General features: G+C 41.1%; 1 protein-coding gene across 7 annotated transcripts in view, besides 2 other annotated features; it reads right to left on the minus strand.

The window, feature by feature from the left end:
* Positions 1-20220, minus strand: part of INTS4 (integrator complex subunit 4) — a 120307-nt gene that overhangs the window by 58104 nt on the left and 41983 nt on the right. For all 7 annotated transcript variants that reach the window (XR_002957208.2, XR_001748036.3, XM_017018560.3 and 4 more), the window contains exons 9-10: positions 8715-8786; positions 6186-6360 (exon numbers count right to left, since the gene is read on the minus strand). Coding sequence is in view for 5 of the 7 variants with exons in the window: in XM_017018560.3 (XP_016874049.1) it covers positions 6186-6360; positions 8715-8786 (247 nt within the window). In the remaining 2 variants the exon portion in view is untranslated. The remainder of the gene's footprint in view (positions 1-6185; positions 6361-8714; positions 8787-20220) is intronic.
* Positions 362-1109: an enhancer, noted in NCBI's record as "H3K27ac hESC enhancer chr11:77643873-77644620 (GRCh37/hg19 assembly coordinates)". NCBI's record gives its function as "activates a minimal SCP1, AML or CMV promoter by ChIP-STARR-seq in primed H9 embryonic stem cells {active_cell/tissue: H9 hESC(primed)}" and the evidence as "EXISTENCE:reporter gene assay evidence [ECO:0000049][PMID:30033119]".
* Positions 1110-1856: an enhancer, noted in NCBI's record as "H3K27ac hESC enhancer chr11:77644621-77645367 (GRCh37/hg19 assembly coordinates)". NCBI's record gives its function as "activates a minimal SCP1, AML or CMV promoter by ChIP-STARR-seq in primed H9 embryonic stem cells {active_cell/tissue: H9 hESC(primed)}" and the evidence as "EXISTENCE:reporter gene assay evidence [ECO:0000049][PMID:30033119]".

Here is a 20220-nt window from a genome sequence, read left to right on the forward strand (position 1 = left end):
GGAGAAGATGTGGAGAAACAGGAACACTTTTACACTGTTGGTGGGAGTGTAAATTAGTTCAGCCATTGTGGAAGACAGTGTAACGATTCCTCAAGGATCTAGAACCAGAAATACCATTTGACCCAGCAATCCCATTACTGGGCATATACCCAAAGCATTATAAATCATTCTACTATAAGAACACATGCACACATATGTTTATTGCAGCACTATTCACAAGTAAAGACTTGGAACCAACCCAAAGGCCCATCAATGATAGACTGGATAAAGAAAATGTGGCACATATACACCATGGAATACCACGCAGCCATAAAAAAGGATGAGTTCATGTTCTTTGCAGGGACATGGCTGAAGCTGGAAACCATCATTCTCAGCAAACTAGCACAAGAACAGAAAACCAAACACCACATGTTCTCACTCATAAGTGGGAGGTGAACAATGAGAACACATGGACACTGAAGGTGGGGGGGCATCACACACTGGGGCCTGTCAGGGGGTGGGGGGCTGGGGGAGGGATAGCATTAGGAGAAATACCTAACGTAGATGATGGGTTGACGGGTGCAGCAAACCACCATGGCACGTGTATACCTATGTAACAAACCTGCACGTTCTGCACATGTACCCCAGAACTCAAAAGTATAAAAAAAAGTATTTAAAAAATCTTAATGGCAAACTGAAAACTGTATAACTAAATCATATAAATGTTAAAAGTGGCCCTCTCCCTGTCCCTCTCCGTCCCCCTCTCCATCCCCCTCTCCCCACAGTCTCCCTCTCCCTCTCTCTCCACGGTCTCCCTCTGATGCCGAGCCCGAAGCTGGACTGTACTGCCACCATCTCGGCTCACTGCAACCTCCCTGCCTGATTGTCCTGCCTCAGCCTGCCGAGTGCCTGGGATTGCAGGCGCGCGCCGCCACGTCTGACTGGTTTTCGTATTTTTTTTGGTGGAGACGGGGTTTCGCTGTGTTGGCCGGGCTGGTCTCCAGCTCCTAACCGCCAGTGATCTGCCAGCCTCGGCCTCCTGAGGTGCTGGGATTGCAGACGGAGTCTCGCTAATTCAGTGCTCAATGTTGCCCAGGCTGGAGTGCAGTGGCGTGATCTCGGCTCGCTACAACCTCCACCTCCCAGCCGCCTGCCCTGGCCTCCCAAAGTGCCGAGATTGCAGCCTCTGCCCGGCCGCCACCCCGTCTGGGAAGTGAAGAGCGTCTCTGCCTGGCCGCCCATCATCTGGGATGTGAGGAGCCCCTCTGCCCTGCCGCCCCCTATGAGAAGTGAAGAGCCCCTCCGCCCAGCAGCCGCCCGTCTGGGAAGTGAGGAGCGTCTCCGCCCGGCAGCCGCCCCGTCCGGGAGGTGGGGGGCGCCTCTGCCCGGCCGCCCTGTCTGGGAAGTGAGGAGCCCCTCTGCCCGGCAGCCACCCCGTCTGGGAGGTGTGCCCAGCAGCTCATTGAGAGCGGGCCATGATGACAATGGCGGTTTTGTGGAGTGGAGAAGGGGGAAATGTGGGGAGGGGATGGAGGGGTCGGATTGTTGCTGTGTCTGTGTAGAGGGAAGTGGACTTAGGAGACTCCATTTTGTTCTGTACTAAGAAAAATCTTCTGCCTTGGGATGCTGTTAATCTATGACCTTACCCCCAACCCCGTGCTCTCTGAAACATGTGCTGTGTCCACTCAGGGTTAAATGGATTAAGGGCGGTGCAAGATGGGCTTTGTTAAACAGATGCTTGAAGGCAGCATGCTCTTTAAGAGTCATCACCACTCCCTAATCTCAAGTACCCAGGGACACAAACACTGCGGAAGGCCACAGGGTCCTCTGCCTAGGAAAACCAGAGACCCTTGTTCACTTGCTTATCTGCTGACCTTCCCTCCACTATTGTCCTATGACCCTGCCAAATCCCCCTCTCTGAGAAACACCCAAGAATGATCAATAAATACTAAAAAAAAAAAAAAAAAGAATGATGCAAATGCCTAGATCTGCACATTTCTAAAAGGGTGACTGCAGGGAGACAAATCCCAGAGGGAAGAGACAAACATGAGAATGTTGTTGTGTTGGAGAGGTGGGATTACGGATGTTTTCTTCTTTTCAAAATTTCCATGACTGTTGTTACATTGCCATTGAATTCAATAATAAAGAGCATTAAAACTCAAAAATAAAAAAATAAAAAAATAAAAGTGATGAAATTCAGTTGTAGAAACGAAACAAAGCAAAAATGCTAATAGAAACAAAATAGGTTTCAGTTACTCATTTTAGAGTAAAATAGGTTTTAATAACTGGACTTCCTTATTATCCAATATTATTTAAACTGTAATTCATATTTTAAGTTCACAGAGAATCAAAAAGCAGAGGTAGATTTACTTTCTATACATATGGAACATTTTAGAACAAATGATAAGATAACCCAATTCTTAACATCTACTGATGAAAAACTTTCTTTCAAAAATAATATTCTTGCCCTTCTAAGAAGTAGTTCTATCCTGAGGTATGATTTTGTAGGCACTTTTAAGACCTCGCACAGGTCTCCGGCACAAATTTACTGTAAAATGTGGACAATCAACATTACCTCACCAGGTCTGTTACCCTTGCTGATAATGAAGAGGCTGGAGTCAATCATCTCAAAGCACTGAAATTCTGAGATGTACATGAGACAGATAGCATATGGAAATCACAGGGGCTTTATAGGATGTCTATTACAAGATGGAGTAATGAGGACCAGCTTTATCCTCCAAGGATGAGACAGAGACAAAATATATGAAACAACAGCATTCCAGACACTGGGCATCTGGCAATAAAGGACTGCAATCCCTGAGAGATGGGAAATAAATGAGGTGATCTCAATGATTACAGCAATTCTGTTTAGAGAGACTCCAGGCACTAGGTCTTCTCTCCCTGAGTTGAGAAGATTGAGCTAGGAGTTTGGGAAGTCCAATGTGGCTAGAGTTCATAGAGCAAATTACTAGAAAGGAGAGAACTACACAGAGAGACAGAGAGCTTGGGAGATCTGCAGATGGTCGCCTCAAGTCTTCAGCTGAATTCTGATCTGTGAGACAGAGACCATCTGAGGCCTGGAAAAGAACCACTCAAAACAATGAGAGGAAACAATCTCCAGAGGTCACACAGGGCCTATAAAACCACAGTTAACTTAGAAGAATTTTGCAGCCAGGTGTGGTGGCTTACGTCTGTCATCCTAAAACTCTGGGAGGCCGAGGTGGCCGGATTGCTTGAGGCCAGGACTTCAAGCCTGGCCTGGGCAACATGGCAAAACCCCATCTCTACAAAAAATACAAAAATTAGCCAGGTGTGGTGGTGTCCACCTGTGGTCCTAATTACTCAGGAGGCTGAGGTGGGAAGATCATTTGAGCCCAGGAGGTCAAGGCTGCAGCGAGCCGTGACTGTACCTTGGCACTCCAGCCTGAGCAACAGAGCAAGATCCTGTCTCAAAAAAAAAAAAAAGAAAAGAAGAGGTTTTGCGCTTCAAGTAGTGCAAAAGAAGAGTTTTTTGCTTCACTAGTGGAGAAAAGTAAGCTGTAGGCTAAATGCTACTCTAATCCTGCCTAACAAAGTATAAGACCTGAAAAAATGGATCCCAGAACAAAGCTCAAAAATATTTAAAGGAATAAAATAATGTTCAGTATCCAATAAAGTGAAATCTATAATGTCTGGCATCCAATTAAAAATTATCAGACATGAAAAGACAAAGGATGGAATATATACAGGATGGAATATATACAGGATGGAATATATACAGGATGGAATATATAATACTGGAGGAAAAAAATCAATCAAAACCAACCTACGAATCACAGAAATAATAGTCCTAGTAAACAAGGATAGTAAGACAATTATAAACATATTATCTGTTGACAAAGCTAGAGGAAAGATTAAGTATGTTAAGAAAGACATGGTAGATACTAAAAAGACCCAAATTCTTTCTTCTTTTTTTTGAGACAGGGTCTTGCTCTGTCACCCAGACTGGAGTGCACTTGTGTGATCATGGCTCCCTGCAACCTCTAACTCCTGCGCTCAAGCAATCCTCCTGCCTCAGCCTCCCAAGTAGCTGGGACTAAAGGCATGCACAACCATGTCTGGCTAATTTTAAATTTTTTGTAGAGATAGGGTCTCCTTATGTGGTCCAGGATGGAAAAAACCCAAATTCTAATCAAACTTCTAGAGACAGAAACTACATGTCTGAGATGAAATATATACTAGGTGGGATTAACATCAGATTATATCTTGCAACGCTCAAAGACAAAGCAATAGATACTATCCAAAATCAAACACAAAGAGAAAATAAAAACTGGAGAAAGAAAGGAAGGAAGGAAGGAAGGAAGAATAGAGCATCAGTGAGCTGTAAAACAATGTCAGTATCCTAATGCATGCGTAATGAAAGTCGCCAAAGGGCCTGTAGAGTCAGAGAAATTAAAAAAAATAATAGTGGCTGGGTATGGTGGCTCACACCTGTAATCCCAGCACTTTGGGAGGCTGAAGCGGGCAGATAAGTTGAGCTCAGGAGTTTGAGACCAGCCTCGACAACATGGCAAAACCCCGTCTCTACTAAAAATACAGAAATTAGCCGAGAGTGGTCGCGGGCACCTGCAGTCCCAGCTACTCGGGAAGCTGAAGCATGAGAATTGTCTGAACTCAGGATGCAGAGGTTGCAGTGAGCCAAGGTCACACCACTGCACTTCAGCCTGGGCAAAACTCTGTCCCCGCCACACCCCCCGAAAAAAAAAGAGAGAGAAAGAAATAATAGCAAAAAAAAAATTTCCAACTGTGATGAAAACTATTTGATTCAAGAAGCTCAACAAACTCCAAACAAAAGAAACATGACATGAACTGTACTATACCCAGGCATATCATAATCAAATTGCTTAAAACCAGTGATAAAGAGAAATCTTAAAAGCAGCTTGAGATAAAAAGACACATTATATACAGAGGAAGATAAAAACGACAGCAGATTTCTCAACAGAAAACTATGGAGCAATATCATTAAAAGACTGGTAGAGGCCATGCACAGTGGCTCACGCCCGCAATCTCAACACTTTAGGAGGCCAAAGCAAAAGGATCACTTGAGCCCAGGAGTTAAAGACTGGCTTGGACAATATAGGGAGGCCCTGTCTCTACAAAAAATTAAAAAATTAGCCGGGCATGGTGACACGTGCTTCTGGTCCCAGCTACTCGAGAGGCTGAGGTGGGAGGATTGCTTGGGTCCAGGAAGTCAAAGCTTCAGTGAGCTGTGATCACACCACTACACTCTAGCCTGGGTGTCAGAGTGAGACCCTGTCTCAAAAAACAAAAAAGTCTCTTGGAAAAAAAAAACTTATTAATCTAGAATTGTATTCCCACAAAAATATCTTTCTGTATTTATTTATTTATTTATTTATTTATTTATTTATTTATTTTTTGAGACAGAGTTTTGCTCTGTTGCTTGCTCAGGCTGGAGTGCAGTGGCACGATCTCAGCTCACTGCAACCTCTGCCTCCTGAGTTCAAGTGATTCTTGTGTCTGAGCCTCTCTAGCAGCTGAGATTACAGGTGTATGCCACCATACCAGCTATTTTTTGTATTTTTAGTAGATCCAGGGTTTCACCATGTTAACCAGGCTGGTCTTGAACTCCTGGCCTCAAGTGATCCTCCAGCCTCAGCCTCCCAAAGTGCTGGGATTACAGGTGTGAGCCACCACGCCTGGCCCAAAAATATCTTTCAAAAATGAAGGTGAAATAAAATATTCATCAGTCATATAAAGGTTTGGCAGTCAGACATACCTAGGTTTAAATCTTGCTCTGTCTCTTATTAGCTGGGTAATATCAAGTTATTATTTTTATTAATATCAATTTTAATTACCAATTATTAAGTGCTTATTATAAATAGGCACGTGTATTATGCCAAGTGCTTTATGTATACAGAACCTCATTTAATTCTCACAACTCAGAAAGATAGTTATTATTATCCCTGTTTTATAAAAATGCTGGAATTTAAATACAGATTGACTGAACCCAAATCTCTTGCTCTTTACCATTGTCTCATACTACTGGGGCCTCAGTCTCTTCTGTGTGTAAAATAAAAAGCATAGTAAGTACTTCCCAGAGTTACTGTGAGGACTAAATGAAACGATACATGTGTATCACCCAGTATAATGCCTGACACACAGCAGTCACTTAAAGAGTGCTATTGCTATTATACAGTCATACTTACCATACATCTCATCTTCCAACCCATGAACAAAAGCTCCACAAGCTCCTGACTCAATCAAGTTCACAGCCCCGGTATCTACTTCTTCCTTGGGAGCATCATCTCCCCACTTTCTGCCACTGGAAAACTCCCCCGAACTGTAAAGTTCCTTGGCACGCTCATGTGCAGTACGTTTCCTCTGCAGAGGACAACAACAATTACCAATTGTAGGAGGTTCATGAAGGAACACTAAGATGAACCCTGAGAACATGGGAAGGCAGAAAATAAAACTGCTCTTTGAGAGTTACGTTTGTAAAAATTATCAGTAGTTCATACAAGAGAAATGCAAATTCAACTTAAAATGAAACCAAAGCCTTGCTGGTCTATAATAGCTGAAAGTACCTAATTAAAGAGGATAAAGATAGCTGAAGAATGTGTTAAGAAAGTCGGTTATGTTTGCTGTGGCAGCAACATAGGAAAGAGAGAGCCAGAGAGGCAAATAATGGCAGTGCCCCTCCAAAAGCCATCTTGGGTAGACAATACGTTGACTCTAAGAAAACAATTATCGGGCAGGGAGCAGGTGGCTCACACCTGTAATCCCAGCACTTTGGGAGGCCAAGGCAGGCTGATCACGAGGTCAGGAGATTGAGACCATCCTGGCCAACATGGTGAAACTCCATCTCTACTATAAGTACAAAAATTAGCTGGGCGTGGTGGCACATGCCTGTAGTCCCAGCTACTCGGGAGGCGGAGGTTGCAGTGAGCCGAGATCATGCCACTGCACTCCAGCCTGGCGACAGAGCGAGACTCCGCCTCAAAAAAAAAATTATCTTCAGTCCCAGTAAAAGTATTTTTCTATTTGGCAACATTGCGTTCTATTTCAGCTACAGTACAGTCACTAAATAATCTAGTAAACTCACTTTACACAGAGATTGCCTAAGGTGGAATATACTGGTTAGTGTATCCAGTCCACTTGACAGTTATGGTTCTCATCACAAATGAATGACCTGGCACTCCGTTTTATATATCAGCCTCTCATTAAACCCCATCTCTAAAAAACTACAAAAAATTAGCCGGGTGTGGTGGTACACACCTGTAGTCCCAGCTACTCAGGAGGCCGAGGTGAGAGGATCACTTGAGCCCGGGAGGCAGAGGTTGCAGTGAACCAAGATCACACCACTGCACTCCAGCCTGGGCGACAGAGCGAGACCCTGTCTCAAACAAAAAAAAAAAACAAAACAAACAAACAAACAAAAAAACCATGCACAAGAAAAAGAGCTGAGAGACATATACCAAAATCACCAAAGTCATTATATTAGGGTAGCAGGCATATGGGTAAATTGTTTTCCTTTCCCTTATCAAAAATTCTACAACTCTATAATACCACTTTTATAATTTCAAAATTGAGGTACTAACAATGAATGTACATATTATTTTCTCAGACTCAAATTTGGTTCTGCAAACCACGTTAGTGAACCATCACAATCAAAGCCTAAGGGCATTTCATAAGAGGCATTTGGGGCCGGGCACAATGGCTCACATCTGTAATCCCAGCACTTTGGGAGGCAGAGGCAAGAAGATTGCCTGGGCTCAGGAGTTCAAGACCAACATGAGGAACACAGCAAGACCTCATTTCTACTAAAGATAAAAAAAAATTAGCTGGGCATGGTGAGGTATGCCTGTAGTCCCAGCTACTCAGGAGGGTGAGGTGGGAGGAATGCTTGAGCCCAAGAGATCAAAGTTGCATTGAGTAATGATTGTGCCACTGCATTTCAGCCTGGGCAATAGAGTGAGACCCTGTTTCAAAAAAAAAGAAGAAAAAATGGCGTGGGGTTGGGGGTATTTTGTTACTGTTTGGAGAAAGGCTTTACTCAGTCTTCCATGGTAACTGCTGCTGAAAAGGAGTCCTAAAATGTCATACCATCTCACAAAATGAGAATGGGCCTTTGTAGTTCCTAACAAATAGAAAATTAATCTTTTGAGGTTTTCTGGGGTTTTTTGGTTGTTGTTTTTTGGGTTTTGTTTTTTGAGACAGAGTCCCACTCTGTTGCCTAGGCTGGAGTGCAGTGGTGCGATCTCGGCTCACTGCAACCTCTGGTCTCCAGGGTTCAAGTGATTCCCTGCCTCAGTCACCCAAGTAGCTAGGACTACAGGCGCATGCCACCACACCTAGCTAATTTTTGTTGTTTAGTTGAGACAGGGTTCATCATGTTGGCCGGGCTGGTCTCAAACTCCTGGCCACAAGTGATCCACCTGCCTCAGCCTCCCAAAGTGCTGGGATTACAGGTGTGAGCCACTGCACCTGGCTTAGAAAATTAATCTTGCCTCTTTTTTGTAAAGCATAACCTGTGCAAAGTATTTCATTACAATAATACAAAATTTAATGAAGTCACTTGTTATTTGCTTCAATTTACTAAGATTTTAAATTAAAATGTAATACAGTTATCATGTTAATTTAACAAATGCTGCTAAGTTAAATCAACACAACTCAGCATACTGCCCCACTACATTGGTTACAGAAACCCACTTTAAACAACAAAGAATAAAAGGTACCCTCAGATCTGACATCAGCTTCTTGTCAAGGGTCTGCTCCAAGAAATGAGAACTGACTTGCTCCATAGAGCCCTATAAAAAGAAAAATCCAGAGCATATAAAACAACTTTTATGATTTGAACATTATCTTAAAATTCAGAGTCTATAGACAATTTAAGTGCATAAAGATAATATTATTCATGACAGTAAAGATGCTATGGGTTCTGAATCAGCAGGAAAATAAAAATATTAGCAGCAGCTAACACCTAAATAGAGCTTAGAATGTGTCACCTACTGTGCTTTTTTTTTTTTTTTCTTTCCTGAGATGGAGTTTTGCTCTTGTCACCCAGGCTGGAGTGCAGTGGCATGATCTCAGCTCATTGCAACCTCTGCCACCCAGGTTCAAGCAATTCTCCTGCCTCAGCCTCCTGAGTAGCTGGGATTACAGGTGCCCGCCACCATGCCCGGCTAATTTTTTGTATTTGTATTTGTAATTGTAATTTTTTGTTTTTGGATTTGTAATTTTTAGTAGAGACGGGGTTTCACCACGTTGGGCAGGCTAGTCTCAAACTCCTGACCTCAGGTGATCTGCCTACCTCGGCCTCCCAAAGTGCTGGGATTACAGGCGTGAGTCACCACGCCCGGCCACTATGTGTCATGTACTATTCTAAGGGCTTTAGACGTATATTAACTCATTTAAATCCTCACTATAACCCTGAGAAGTAAATACTATATTAGTCCCATTTTATATATGGAGAAAAGACACAAAAAGATTAAATAACATATTGACGGTCACAAAGAATAAATTCCAGAGCTAGGAAATAAATCCAGGCTCCAAAATCCTTTCCCTTAACAACTACTCTCCACTCCTTTTCATTCTTCTTTCCATTCATCTGTTCATTCATTCATGCATTCAATTAAACAAATATTTAGCAACCATTCAATTATATGTCTACAGTTACCAGGAACAAGAATACAAAAATAAAAAGACAACAGCTGTACACTCAACAATCTCACAGACTAGTAAGGGAAACTGACAAGAAAAGAGATTACTGCAATATGGTATGAAATGCTGTAATACACATCTAGGAATGATGCCATGGGAACGGAGAGAACAAGCAGTATTAAGGTACAGGCAGGGAGAGGTATACGTGGAGAAATGAAAATCACAGTGCGAATGCCAAGTGGGAAATATTAAGTCGTTTTACAAATGGAACGTAAGATAGGGCTCCTGAAAATGAGGCAGTACAGATAGGATAATAAAGAGCCTTATTTGCCATAGTAAGGGGTTTGCCTTATAAATAATTATTACATAATCCCTGTTAAACATCTAATGAGCTTAACAATGTATAAAATATTTTACTTATATTTTTCCAATTTATTCTTCCCAATAATCCCATATACCTCTCATCCCCATTTTCTAGATGAGAACTGAGGCTGAGATTAGGCAACTTACTCATTTCAAGTAAGGGAGAACATAGATTTATATTTCATAAAGCCCATCTTGCAACAGTATGACTAATGGACCATAAGGAATCAAAATGAAAGCAAAAAGACTAGTTTCAGAGGCTGTTGGAGCAGGTCCTAGACATTAAGAAATTTATCTGAGATCTTCTCTAATTCCTAAGTTAATAAATGTGGAAATGCTTATACAGGCTCAGATCTTTTCTCTAATCAAATTTTTCATAGAAAATTACATGTTCCTGGGGAATGTCCTTACTCAAGTTAACACCTTTCCTATGATTCCACAAAAACAACTGCCATACTATTTTGACTAAAGTAGTTTCAAAACCACTTTTTCTTTTGTTACATAGATCTGAGCCTATGTCATATCTAACATCCATTTAAATCCAAACAACAATTTTATAAATAAGAACTATAAACGCTTAAGACCTCCTAAATCTCTCTCTAGCTTTACCACCAGCATTAGCTGTTGGCTTTTTTCTACTAGAATAAAATTTTCATGACTTCACAGTAAGTTGCTTCATCCATAATTCCCAGTGCCCTCCTCCAATGCCCTCAACTGCGCGCTCGTCCAACACAGCAGCACAGAGGGAGTGCTATGCAAATTTGTGCCCCAAAAAATTAAATATCATTACTTGAAATAAATTTTCAATGTCACCTAAGAATAGGTGAAGCTTTCCATTTTAAGTCCACAAACACAGAGTCCTATAGCATAGTAATCCACTTGAAAAATGGTGAGATGTCTATTACTGCAGGACCAGTGGAAATGGAGAAGGGATGGATTTAGGGGATGTCAAGAAGGAAGAACTGATATGAGTTGTGACTCAATGGATGTGAGACATAGAAAAACTATTCCCAAATTCCTCTGGTTCATGACTTAGCAGATGATAGCATCATTTACGAAAACATAGAGAAACAGATTTGGACCAAAAAGATAATGAGTTCATTATAAAGTGCACCTCACCAATGAGAGAAAAAGCTACATTCTGGTGTACTTTAACCAAGACAAATATGTTTAGATTAAGATGGAATCTCTCCAACTGTACTACTAGCACTACTTAACAACCTAAATTTAGGTAGTTAATGCTATGAAAACCTTACTTAACACTGAGAAAACCATTTCACTTGAGAGCCTTATTAAATGTATGTGAAATTTAGATACAAGATATTTAACAATTATCACACCTGCTTTAAGAACAAAAACTGCTCAACTGGTGTAAATAACATAAGTCTATGCAACTAGGTGATAAGTACATCAGACATAAAACTGCCACTAACTAGGAATATCTGCATTTACCCTGGGAAAGACCAGTCATGGGCAGACTTACAGGCATAAAAGTCTATAACCTAACAGTCTGAAAATGTTGTAATTTTTAAGGTCAATGACTTCTTAAGGCTTATAAAAGTAGTGACTGTATTCTAAATAGTCCCATGAATCTCCTTACTGGGACCTCAAGTTTCTTTGCCCCACAAATAGGGCAGTTATAAATAAGTAAAAGCTAACCTCTTTTACATGGTTTTGAATTTTCTGATGTAACACATATCAGAAAATTTTTCATACTGCTATAAGCCAAAGGGATTGGAAACTATTCACTTTTTAAGCAAGATAGACTCGAGGCTACAAAGCTAAGTTGCTGCAGAACCTGGCTTCTGTTTTCCTCTCCAACTTACCTCGTTACAGATCCCCTATATTGAACATTACCCCCGCAACTAGAAAGCACTAAACTGCTTGTAGTTTAGTATGATATTGCAGCTTAGTATATTGCTATGCATGATAATGTACTGCTTTTATATCCCTGCTCATATTTTCTCTTTCTCTGCATCGCTACCTAGTTACTCATCCTTCAAAACTCAGTTCAGAGATCAGCTCCTCCAAGAAGCCTTCTGTGGTTGTGGTTGGTGCTCTTTCCTACCAGTACCAGGTATTATTATTCACTGATTAGCTATCCCTGGCTACCTGACTATCAACTTCGTTGAAGACAGAAACTGTCCTCGATGTTTGTCGATTTGCTGAACAGGTGATTTAAAGATTATACAGGTTCAACATCCCAATTCCAAAAATCTGAAATCCAAAATGCTCCAAAATCCAAAACTTTTTGAGTACCAACATGATGCTCAAAGGAAATGTTCACTGGAGCACTTCACATTTTGGATTTTGGAGCATATTTCAGATTTGGGATGCCCAACAAGTAAGTATAATACAAATAAACTATTCCAAAATCCAAAAGCAAAACAAAACAAAACAAAATCCAAAACACTTCTGGTCTCAAGCATTTTGGATAGGGGATACTCAATCTGTATGAAGATTTGTTTAAAAAAAAATGGCTCACCAGAGTTACCTGGCACATATCACCCACAACAAAAAGGGACCAAAATAACAAATAACTATATTTCAACTAAAATGACTGTAGATATATGCTGCAGAGCACCAGAGAAAGGGCAAAATCCCTGTGGAGCATGGAAGCCTCAGGATAGCACCACAGGGAAGGGAGTGAGGTTTCCTACCTGCCACACTGTCTCCCTTGCCAAAATCAGCTTAAAATCAGAGGAAATTCTTACAGGGAAAAAGTAAGCTAGAGATACCTATCAGTGGTCCCCACTGCTGCCACAGGCACCAGCAATTCTTGATAAAGGAGAGTCCTTAAGTCCTCAGTGGCCACAAATCCAGTCTGGAGAGTAGCCAAGAGATCATTCAGCTGTACTGCCTCAGAGTGGGAGCCCACCTTGTCCTAAGCTGCTGTAGCATGGCACCAAGTTGAAGCTAGACTCACTACTAGTGTGCATCCTGCCCTGGGGACCAGTAGCAACTGACTCTCTTCATCCTTGAGAACCCGCCATCATTCTACCATGATCACATGATGGCCTGCAGCACCATAACCCCATCCACATAGAGTCTAGGTCAAACAGAGTGACGATGATCTCAGCATCAGACCCCACATAGCGCTACCAACCATCCAGAAAACAGGCAGACATGCACAGCAAGGAAGCCATCAAATAGACAGCTGGCAGCGCTTTACCCAACACCCCTGTTCCATACAACCATCTGGGCTGCCAAGTATGCACACGCCAGTACTCAGCCAAAAAGCCAATCCTGCGGCAGCCCCACTCCCTCACAACCCATCACAGAACCACCTGCCCACGCCCTGCCTGACAGCTGGTAATTCAGTGGTCCTGTCCCCTAAAACTGGCCACGATAGAGTCCCAGAGTCCCACAGTCCCACAGCACACAGTCCAACTGGTCCTGTGGTAGCCCTGGCCCCCTACCATAGACTGCTGCCAAACTGCCCAGCCCCACTGCACAAAAGCATTTGAGCCTAGCCCAAAGCAACAGCCAACCAGGCAGTAGCCCCATTTCCCTACATAGCCACAGAGCTGCCCAGCAGGCCACCGCGGCAAAGGCCTGAGCCCAGCACGACAGCCACCACAGCAGCAACTACTGCCTCCCTGGAAAACCAGATAGACAGCCTGGCAGCCATTTTAGCCTGTACATGTCTTGGCCAGAAATCAGCTCAGTACCCTCATCTACAGCATTGCCATCACAAACTCCCACAGCCTAGGCAACTGAGGCAATTGCAAACATCAATGACTAGGATTATAGCTGAAGATTACAGCTGAAGCTGACAAGGATTATTACACCACCCACTGAGTCCACCCAGAACCAAAGGCAACACACCATACCCAACTAATACCCTAAAACCATCTACAGAAAAAGACTGTTACTATATACTAGCTACTCAATAAAATTGAAAAGAGCAACTACTCTACTAAATGCACAGATATCAACATCCAGTATCTTACACACGATAAATGAAAATCAAGGAAACATGACACCCTCAAAGGAATACAGTAAGTCTCCTGGCTGGGGGCAGTGGCTCACATCTGTAATCCCAGCACTTCGGGAGGCCAAGACAGCCAGAAAGCATGAACTCAGGAGTTCAAGACCATTCTGGGCAACATGGCAAAACCCGTCTCTACAAAATATAAAAAAATTAGTCGGGTGTGGTGGCATGCGCCTGTAGTCCTAGCTACTCAGCAGGCTGAGGTGGGAGGATCACTTAAACCCAGGAGGAGAAGGTTGCAGTGAGCTGAGATCATGCCACTGCACTTCGGCCTGGGTGACAGAGCAAGACCCTGTCTCAAAAAAAAAAAAAAGGAAAAAAGTCTCCAATGACAGACATTAAAGAAAAGGACACTTACAAAATGCCTGAAAAGGAATTCAAAATAGTGATCTAAAGGAAACTCAGTAAGATACAAGAGAATACAGACAAACAATTAAATGAAATCAGGAAAACATTCATGATCCGAATGAGAAATTCAACAGAAATCAATATCATAAAAAAGAACCAAACAGAAATCTTGGAACTGAAGAATTTAATGAAAAAAATAAAAATAGTATACAATTGAGAGCTTCAACAATAGACTAGGATCAAGCAGAAGAAAGAATTTCTGACCTTGAAGACAGGTCTTTCGAAATAACCCATTAAGAGGAAAAAAAAAAAACAAGTAAGAATAAAAAAGAAAGCCTTGGAACATATGGGACATCAACAGGCAAACAAATACTTGCATTGAAGATTGCCTGATGGAGAAGAGAAAGAGAAAGGCACAGAAAACCCATTTGATGAAATGATAGCTGAAAACTTGCCAAGTAGTGGGAGAAATACGGACATCCAGATTCAGGAAGTTCAAAGGTTCACAATTACATTCAACCCAAAAAGATCCTCTCCAAGGTACATTATAATCAAACTATCGAAAGTCAAAGAGTAAGACTTTCAAAGCTGCAAGACAAAATTGTCAAGAGAATCTCCATTACTATCAACAGATTTCTCAGCAGAAACCTCGCAGACCAAGAGAGAATGGGATAGAATTAATATATTCAAGGTATTGAATGCTACAGCTAGAAACAAAAGGACAATAATCACTATCATAAAAACACACAAAAGTATAAAACTCACCAGTAAAGGCAAACTCATAAATCAAACAGATCAAACCCCAGTGATACAATATGTCATATAAAATTTTCAATCTGCTAGTATGAAGGTTAAATTCAAAATGGTCAAAAACTACAACAGCTACAAATAGTAGCTAAGGAACACATAACAGATGAAGAAGAAAATTAAGGCAACAAAAATATAAATTGAAGTGGGGAGGGAAAAAATCTAGGGTCCTTTTATGTAACCAAAGTTGAGTTGCTATCAGCTTAAAACATTCTATTGTAACTGCAAGACTTTTTTTTTCCCCCTTGAGACAGTCTTACTCTGATGCCCATGCTAGAGCATAGTGGCCTGATCACGGCTCACTGCAGCCTCAATCTTCCAGGCTCAAGTGATCCTCCCACCTCAGCCTCCTGGGTAGCTGAGACTACAGATGTGTGCCACCATGCCCAGCTGATTTCTTTTTTCTTTATTTAGTAGAAACGAGGTCTCACTATGTTGCCCAGGCTGGTCTCAAACTCATGAGCTCAAGTGATCTGCCTGCCTCAGCCTCCCAAAGTGCTGGGATAATAGGCAAGAGCCACCACACCAGCCTAACTGAAGACTCTGTAGTAACTATGTAGAAAAAAGTTACAGCAGATACACAAACAAGAAAGAGAATGAAAATAAAGCGTGGCCCCACAGAAAACCACTAAATCAGAGGTAAACAACAAGAAAGGAAGACAAGAACAAAGGATCTCCAAAATTACTTTTTGGTAATTAACAAAATGGCAGGAATAAGATCTTATCTATCAATAACAATCTTGAATATAGCTGGGCGCGGTGGCTTATGCCTGTAATCCCAGCACCTTGGGAGGCCAAGGCAGGCGAATCACTTGAGGCCAGGAGTTTGAGACCAGCATGGCCAACATGTCAAAACCCGTCTCTAATAAAAATGCAAAAAAATTAGTTGGGCATGGTGGCACATGCCTGTAATCCCGGTACTGGGGAGGTTGGGGCACGAGAACCACTTGAACCCAGGAGGTGAAGGTTGCAGTGAGTTGAGATCACACCAGTGCATTCCAGCCTAGGTGACGGAGTGAGACCCTGTCTCAAAGAAACAAAAAAAAAAAAACAAAAAAAAAAAAGAAGAAGAAGAAGAAGGAAAAAATCTTGAATATAAATGGATTAAGTTCTTCAATTAAAAGGTACACTACAGCCTGGGCAACAGAGAGACAGACACCCTGTCTCAAAGAAAGAAAAAAAAAAAAAGGTATACATTGGTTGAATAGATTAAAACACAAAATCTAAGTATACATTGCCTAGAAGAAACACACTTCACAAGCAAGAATTAAAACATATACCAAAACCTACGGTATGCAACAAAAGCAGTTCTAAGAGATAAGTGTACAGCAATAAATGACTACATCAAAAAAGAAGAACAATCTGGTTTTTAGTTTTTTTTAGCGACAGTTTCGCTGTTATCCAGGCTGGAGTCCCCAGGAGTTTGAGGTTGCTGTGAGCTATGACTGTGCAATCGCGGAACCGCACTCCAGCCTAGGCAACAGAGCAAGACCCTGACTTAAAGAAGAAAATAAAAAAAGAATAAAATCTTGTCATTTGCCACATCGATAAACCTGGAGGACATCATGTAAAGTGAAATAAGCCAGACATGGAAAGGCAAATATTGCATGATCTAAGACTTAAACATAAGACCTAAAACCATAAAAACCCTAGAAGAAAACCTAGGCAATACCATTCAGGACATAGGCATGGGCAAAGACTTCATGACTAAAACACCAAAAGCAATGGCAACGAAGCCAAAATTGAGAAATGGGATCTAATTAAACTAAAGAGCTTCTGCACAGCAAAAGAAACTATCATCAGAGTGAACAAGCAACCTACAGAATGGGAGAAAATTTTTGCAATCTATCCATCTGCCAAAGAGCTAATATCCAGAATCTACAAAGAACTTAAACAAATTTACAAAAAAAAAAAAAAAAACCATCAAAAAGTGGGTGAAGGATATGAACAGACACTTCTCAAAAGAAGACATTTATGTGACCAACAAACATATGAAAGAAAGCTCATCATCACTGGTCATTAGAGAAATGCAAATCAAAACCACAATGAGATACCATCTCACACCAGTTAGAATGGCAATCATTAAAAAGTCAGAAAACAACAGGTGCTGGAGAGGATGTGGAGAAACAGGAACACTTTCACACTGTTGGTGGGAGTGTAAATTAGTTCAGCCATTGTGGAAGACAGCATGGCGATTCCTCAAGGATCTAGAACCAGAAATACCATTTGACCCAGCAATCCCATTACTGGGTATATACCCAAAGGATTATAAATCATTCTACTATAAAAACACATGCACACGTATGTTTATTGCAGCACTGTTCACAACAGTAAAGACTTAGAACCAACCCAAAGGCCCATCAATGATAGACTGGACAAAGAAAATGTGGCGCATATACACCATGGAATACCATGCAGCCACAAAAAAGGATGAGTTCATGTTCTGTGCAGGGACATGGATGAAGCTGGAAACCATCATTCTCAGCAAACTAACACAAGAACAGAAAACCAAATACCGCATGTTCTCACTCATAAGTGAGAGTTGAACAATGTGAACACATGGACACAAGGAGGGAAACATCACACACCAGGGACTGTCAGAGGGTGGGGGCTGGGGGAGGGACAGCATTAGGAGAAATACCTAATGTAGATGATAGGTTGACGGGTGCAGCAAACTACCATGGCACATGTATACCTATGTCACAAACCTGCATGTTCTGCACATGTATCCCAGAACTTAAAGTATTAAAAAAAAAATTGATATCATAGAGGCAGAGAGTATAACAGTGGTTAGCAGACACTGGGGAGGGGAGGGAGTAGGAGAGAATGGGAAGAGACTGGACAACAGATACAAAGTCACAATGAAGAGAAATAAATTCTGGTGTTCAACTGCACATAAAGGTGACTATGATTAACAGTAAAATATTGTATATTACAAAATATACAATATTATAGCTGCAAGAGAGGCTGTTGAAAGTTCATGACAAAGAAATGATAAATGTATGAGGTGATAACTATACTAACTATCCTGATTGGATTAATATTCAACATAGATGTGTATCAAAACATCAACTTGTGCCCCATATATACAATGTGTCAATTTTTGTTTGTTTGTTTTATTATACTTTAAGTTTTAGGGTACATGTGCACAACGTGCAGGTTAGTTACATATGTACACATATGCCATGTTGGTGTGCTGTACCCATCAACTGGTCATTTAACATTAGGTATATCTCCTAATGCTATCCCTCCCCCCTCCCCCCACCCCACAACAGGCCCTGGTGTGTGATGTTCCCCTTCCTGTGTCCATGTGTTCTCATTGTTCAATTCCCACCTATGAGTGAGAACAGGCGGTGTTTGGATTTTTTGTCCTTGTGATAGTTTGCTGAGAATGATGGTTTCCAGCTTCATCCATGTCCCTACAAAGGACATGAACTCATCATTTTTTATGGCTGCATAGGATTCCATGGTGTATATGTGCCACATTTTCTTAATCCAGTCTGTCATTGTTGGACATCTGGCTTGGTTCCAAGTCTTTGCTATTGTGAATAGTGCCACAATAAACATACATGTGCTTGTGTCTTTATAGCAGCGTGATTTATAATCCTTTGGGTATAGACCCAGTAATGGGATTGCTGGGTCAAATGGTATTTCTAGTTCAAGATCCCTGAGGAATCGCTACAGGTACCAAAAGAGAGAGATAGACCAATGGAACAGAACAGAACCCTCAGAAATAATGCCGCATATCTACAACCATCTGATCTTTGACAAATCTGACAAAAACAAGAAATGGGGAAAGGATTCTCTATTTAATAAATGGTGCTGGGAAAACTGGCTAGCCATATGTAGAAAGCTGAAACTGGATCCCTTCCTTACACCTTATACAAAAATTAATTCAAGATGGATTAAAGACTTAAATGTTAGACCTAAAACCATAAAAATCCTAGAAGAAAACCTAGGCAATACCATTCAGGACCCAGGCATGGGCAAGGACTTCATGTCAAAAACACCAAAAGCAATGGTAACAAAAGCCAAAATTGACAAATGGGATCTAATTAAACTAAAGAGCTTGTGCACAGCAAAAGAAACTACCATCAGAGTGAACAGGCAACCTACAGAATGGGAGAAAATTTTTGCAATCTACTCATCCGACAAAGGGCTAATATCCCGAATCTACAATGAACTCAAACAAATCTACAAGAAAAAAACAAACAGCCCCATCAAAAAGTGGGCGAAGGATATGAGCAGACACTTCTCAAAAGAAGACATTTATGCAGCCAAAAGACACAGGAAAAAATGCTCATCATCACTGGCCATCAGAGAAATGCAAATCAAAACCATAATGAGATACCATCTCACACCAGTTAGAATGGCAATCATTAAAAAGTCAGGAAACAACAGGTGCTGGAGAGGATGTGGAGAAATAGGAACACTTTTACACTGTTGGTGGGACTGTAAACTAGTTCAACCAATGTGTCAATTTTTTAAAATTAATTAATTTTTAATGAAAGATTGTACACAAATCACTTGATCACAGGTTTATCTACTGGAGAGCTGGAGTAGAGCAGCTTTACCTCTTAGCTTGCACAGAGATACTAATAAAGCAGCAGGGCCTTAACTGGCCAATCCCAATGTGTAACTGGATACTCACCAGGAAAGGATTATACGTGGGCTTTAGATTATGAAGTTTGAAGTCCTCATCTGTCATTTACTATCTGTGTGGTCTCAGACAAATTATACCACATTCCTAAATTTTAATTTTGTTATTTATAAGTAATACATTTACCTCAGAGAGTTTAAAAAGATTAAAAGTTACTTGCAAAAGTATGCAAATGAGTTAGGCATGTGTGCTTGTATATAAAGAAGTGGGTTAATAGTTATGTGTGAATATGTGTGTATTTATGTGTGTATGTATGACTAAAAATGCCTCATTTAGTAGGCCAGGAACTCTATACATAGTAGTAATTATTATTATCAGCAAGATAAGAATGATTATTTTTTCTGAATACAAACATAATTACTTATATAATTTGAAGCTGTTCAGATTTAACATGAAATTGTAACACAAG

Source organism: Homo sapiens, chromosome 11 (assembly GCF_000001405.40).
Source record: "Homo sapiens chromosome 11, GRCh38.p14 Primary Assembly".
Taxonomy (NCBI): domain Eukaryota; kingdom Metazoa; phylum Chordata; class Mammalia; order Primates; family Hominidae; genus Homo; species Homo sapiens.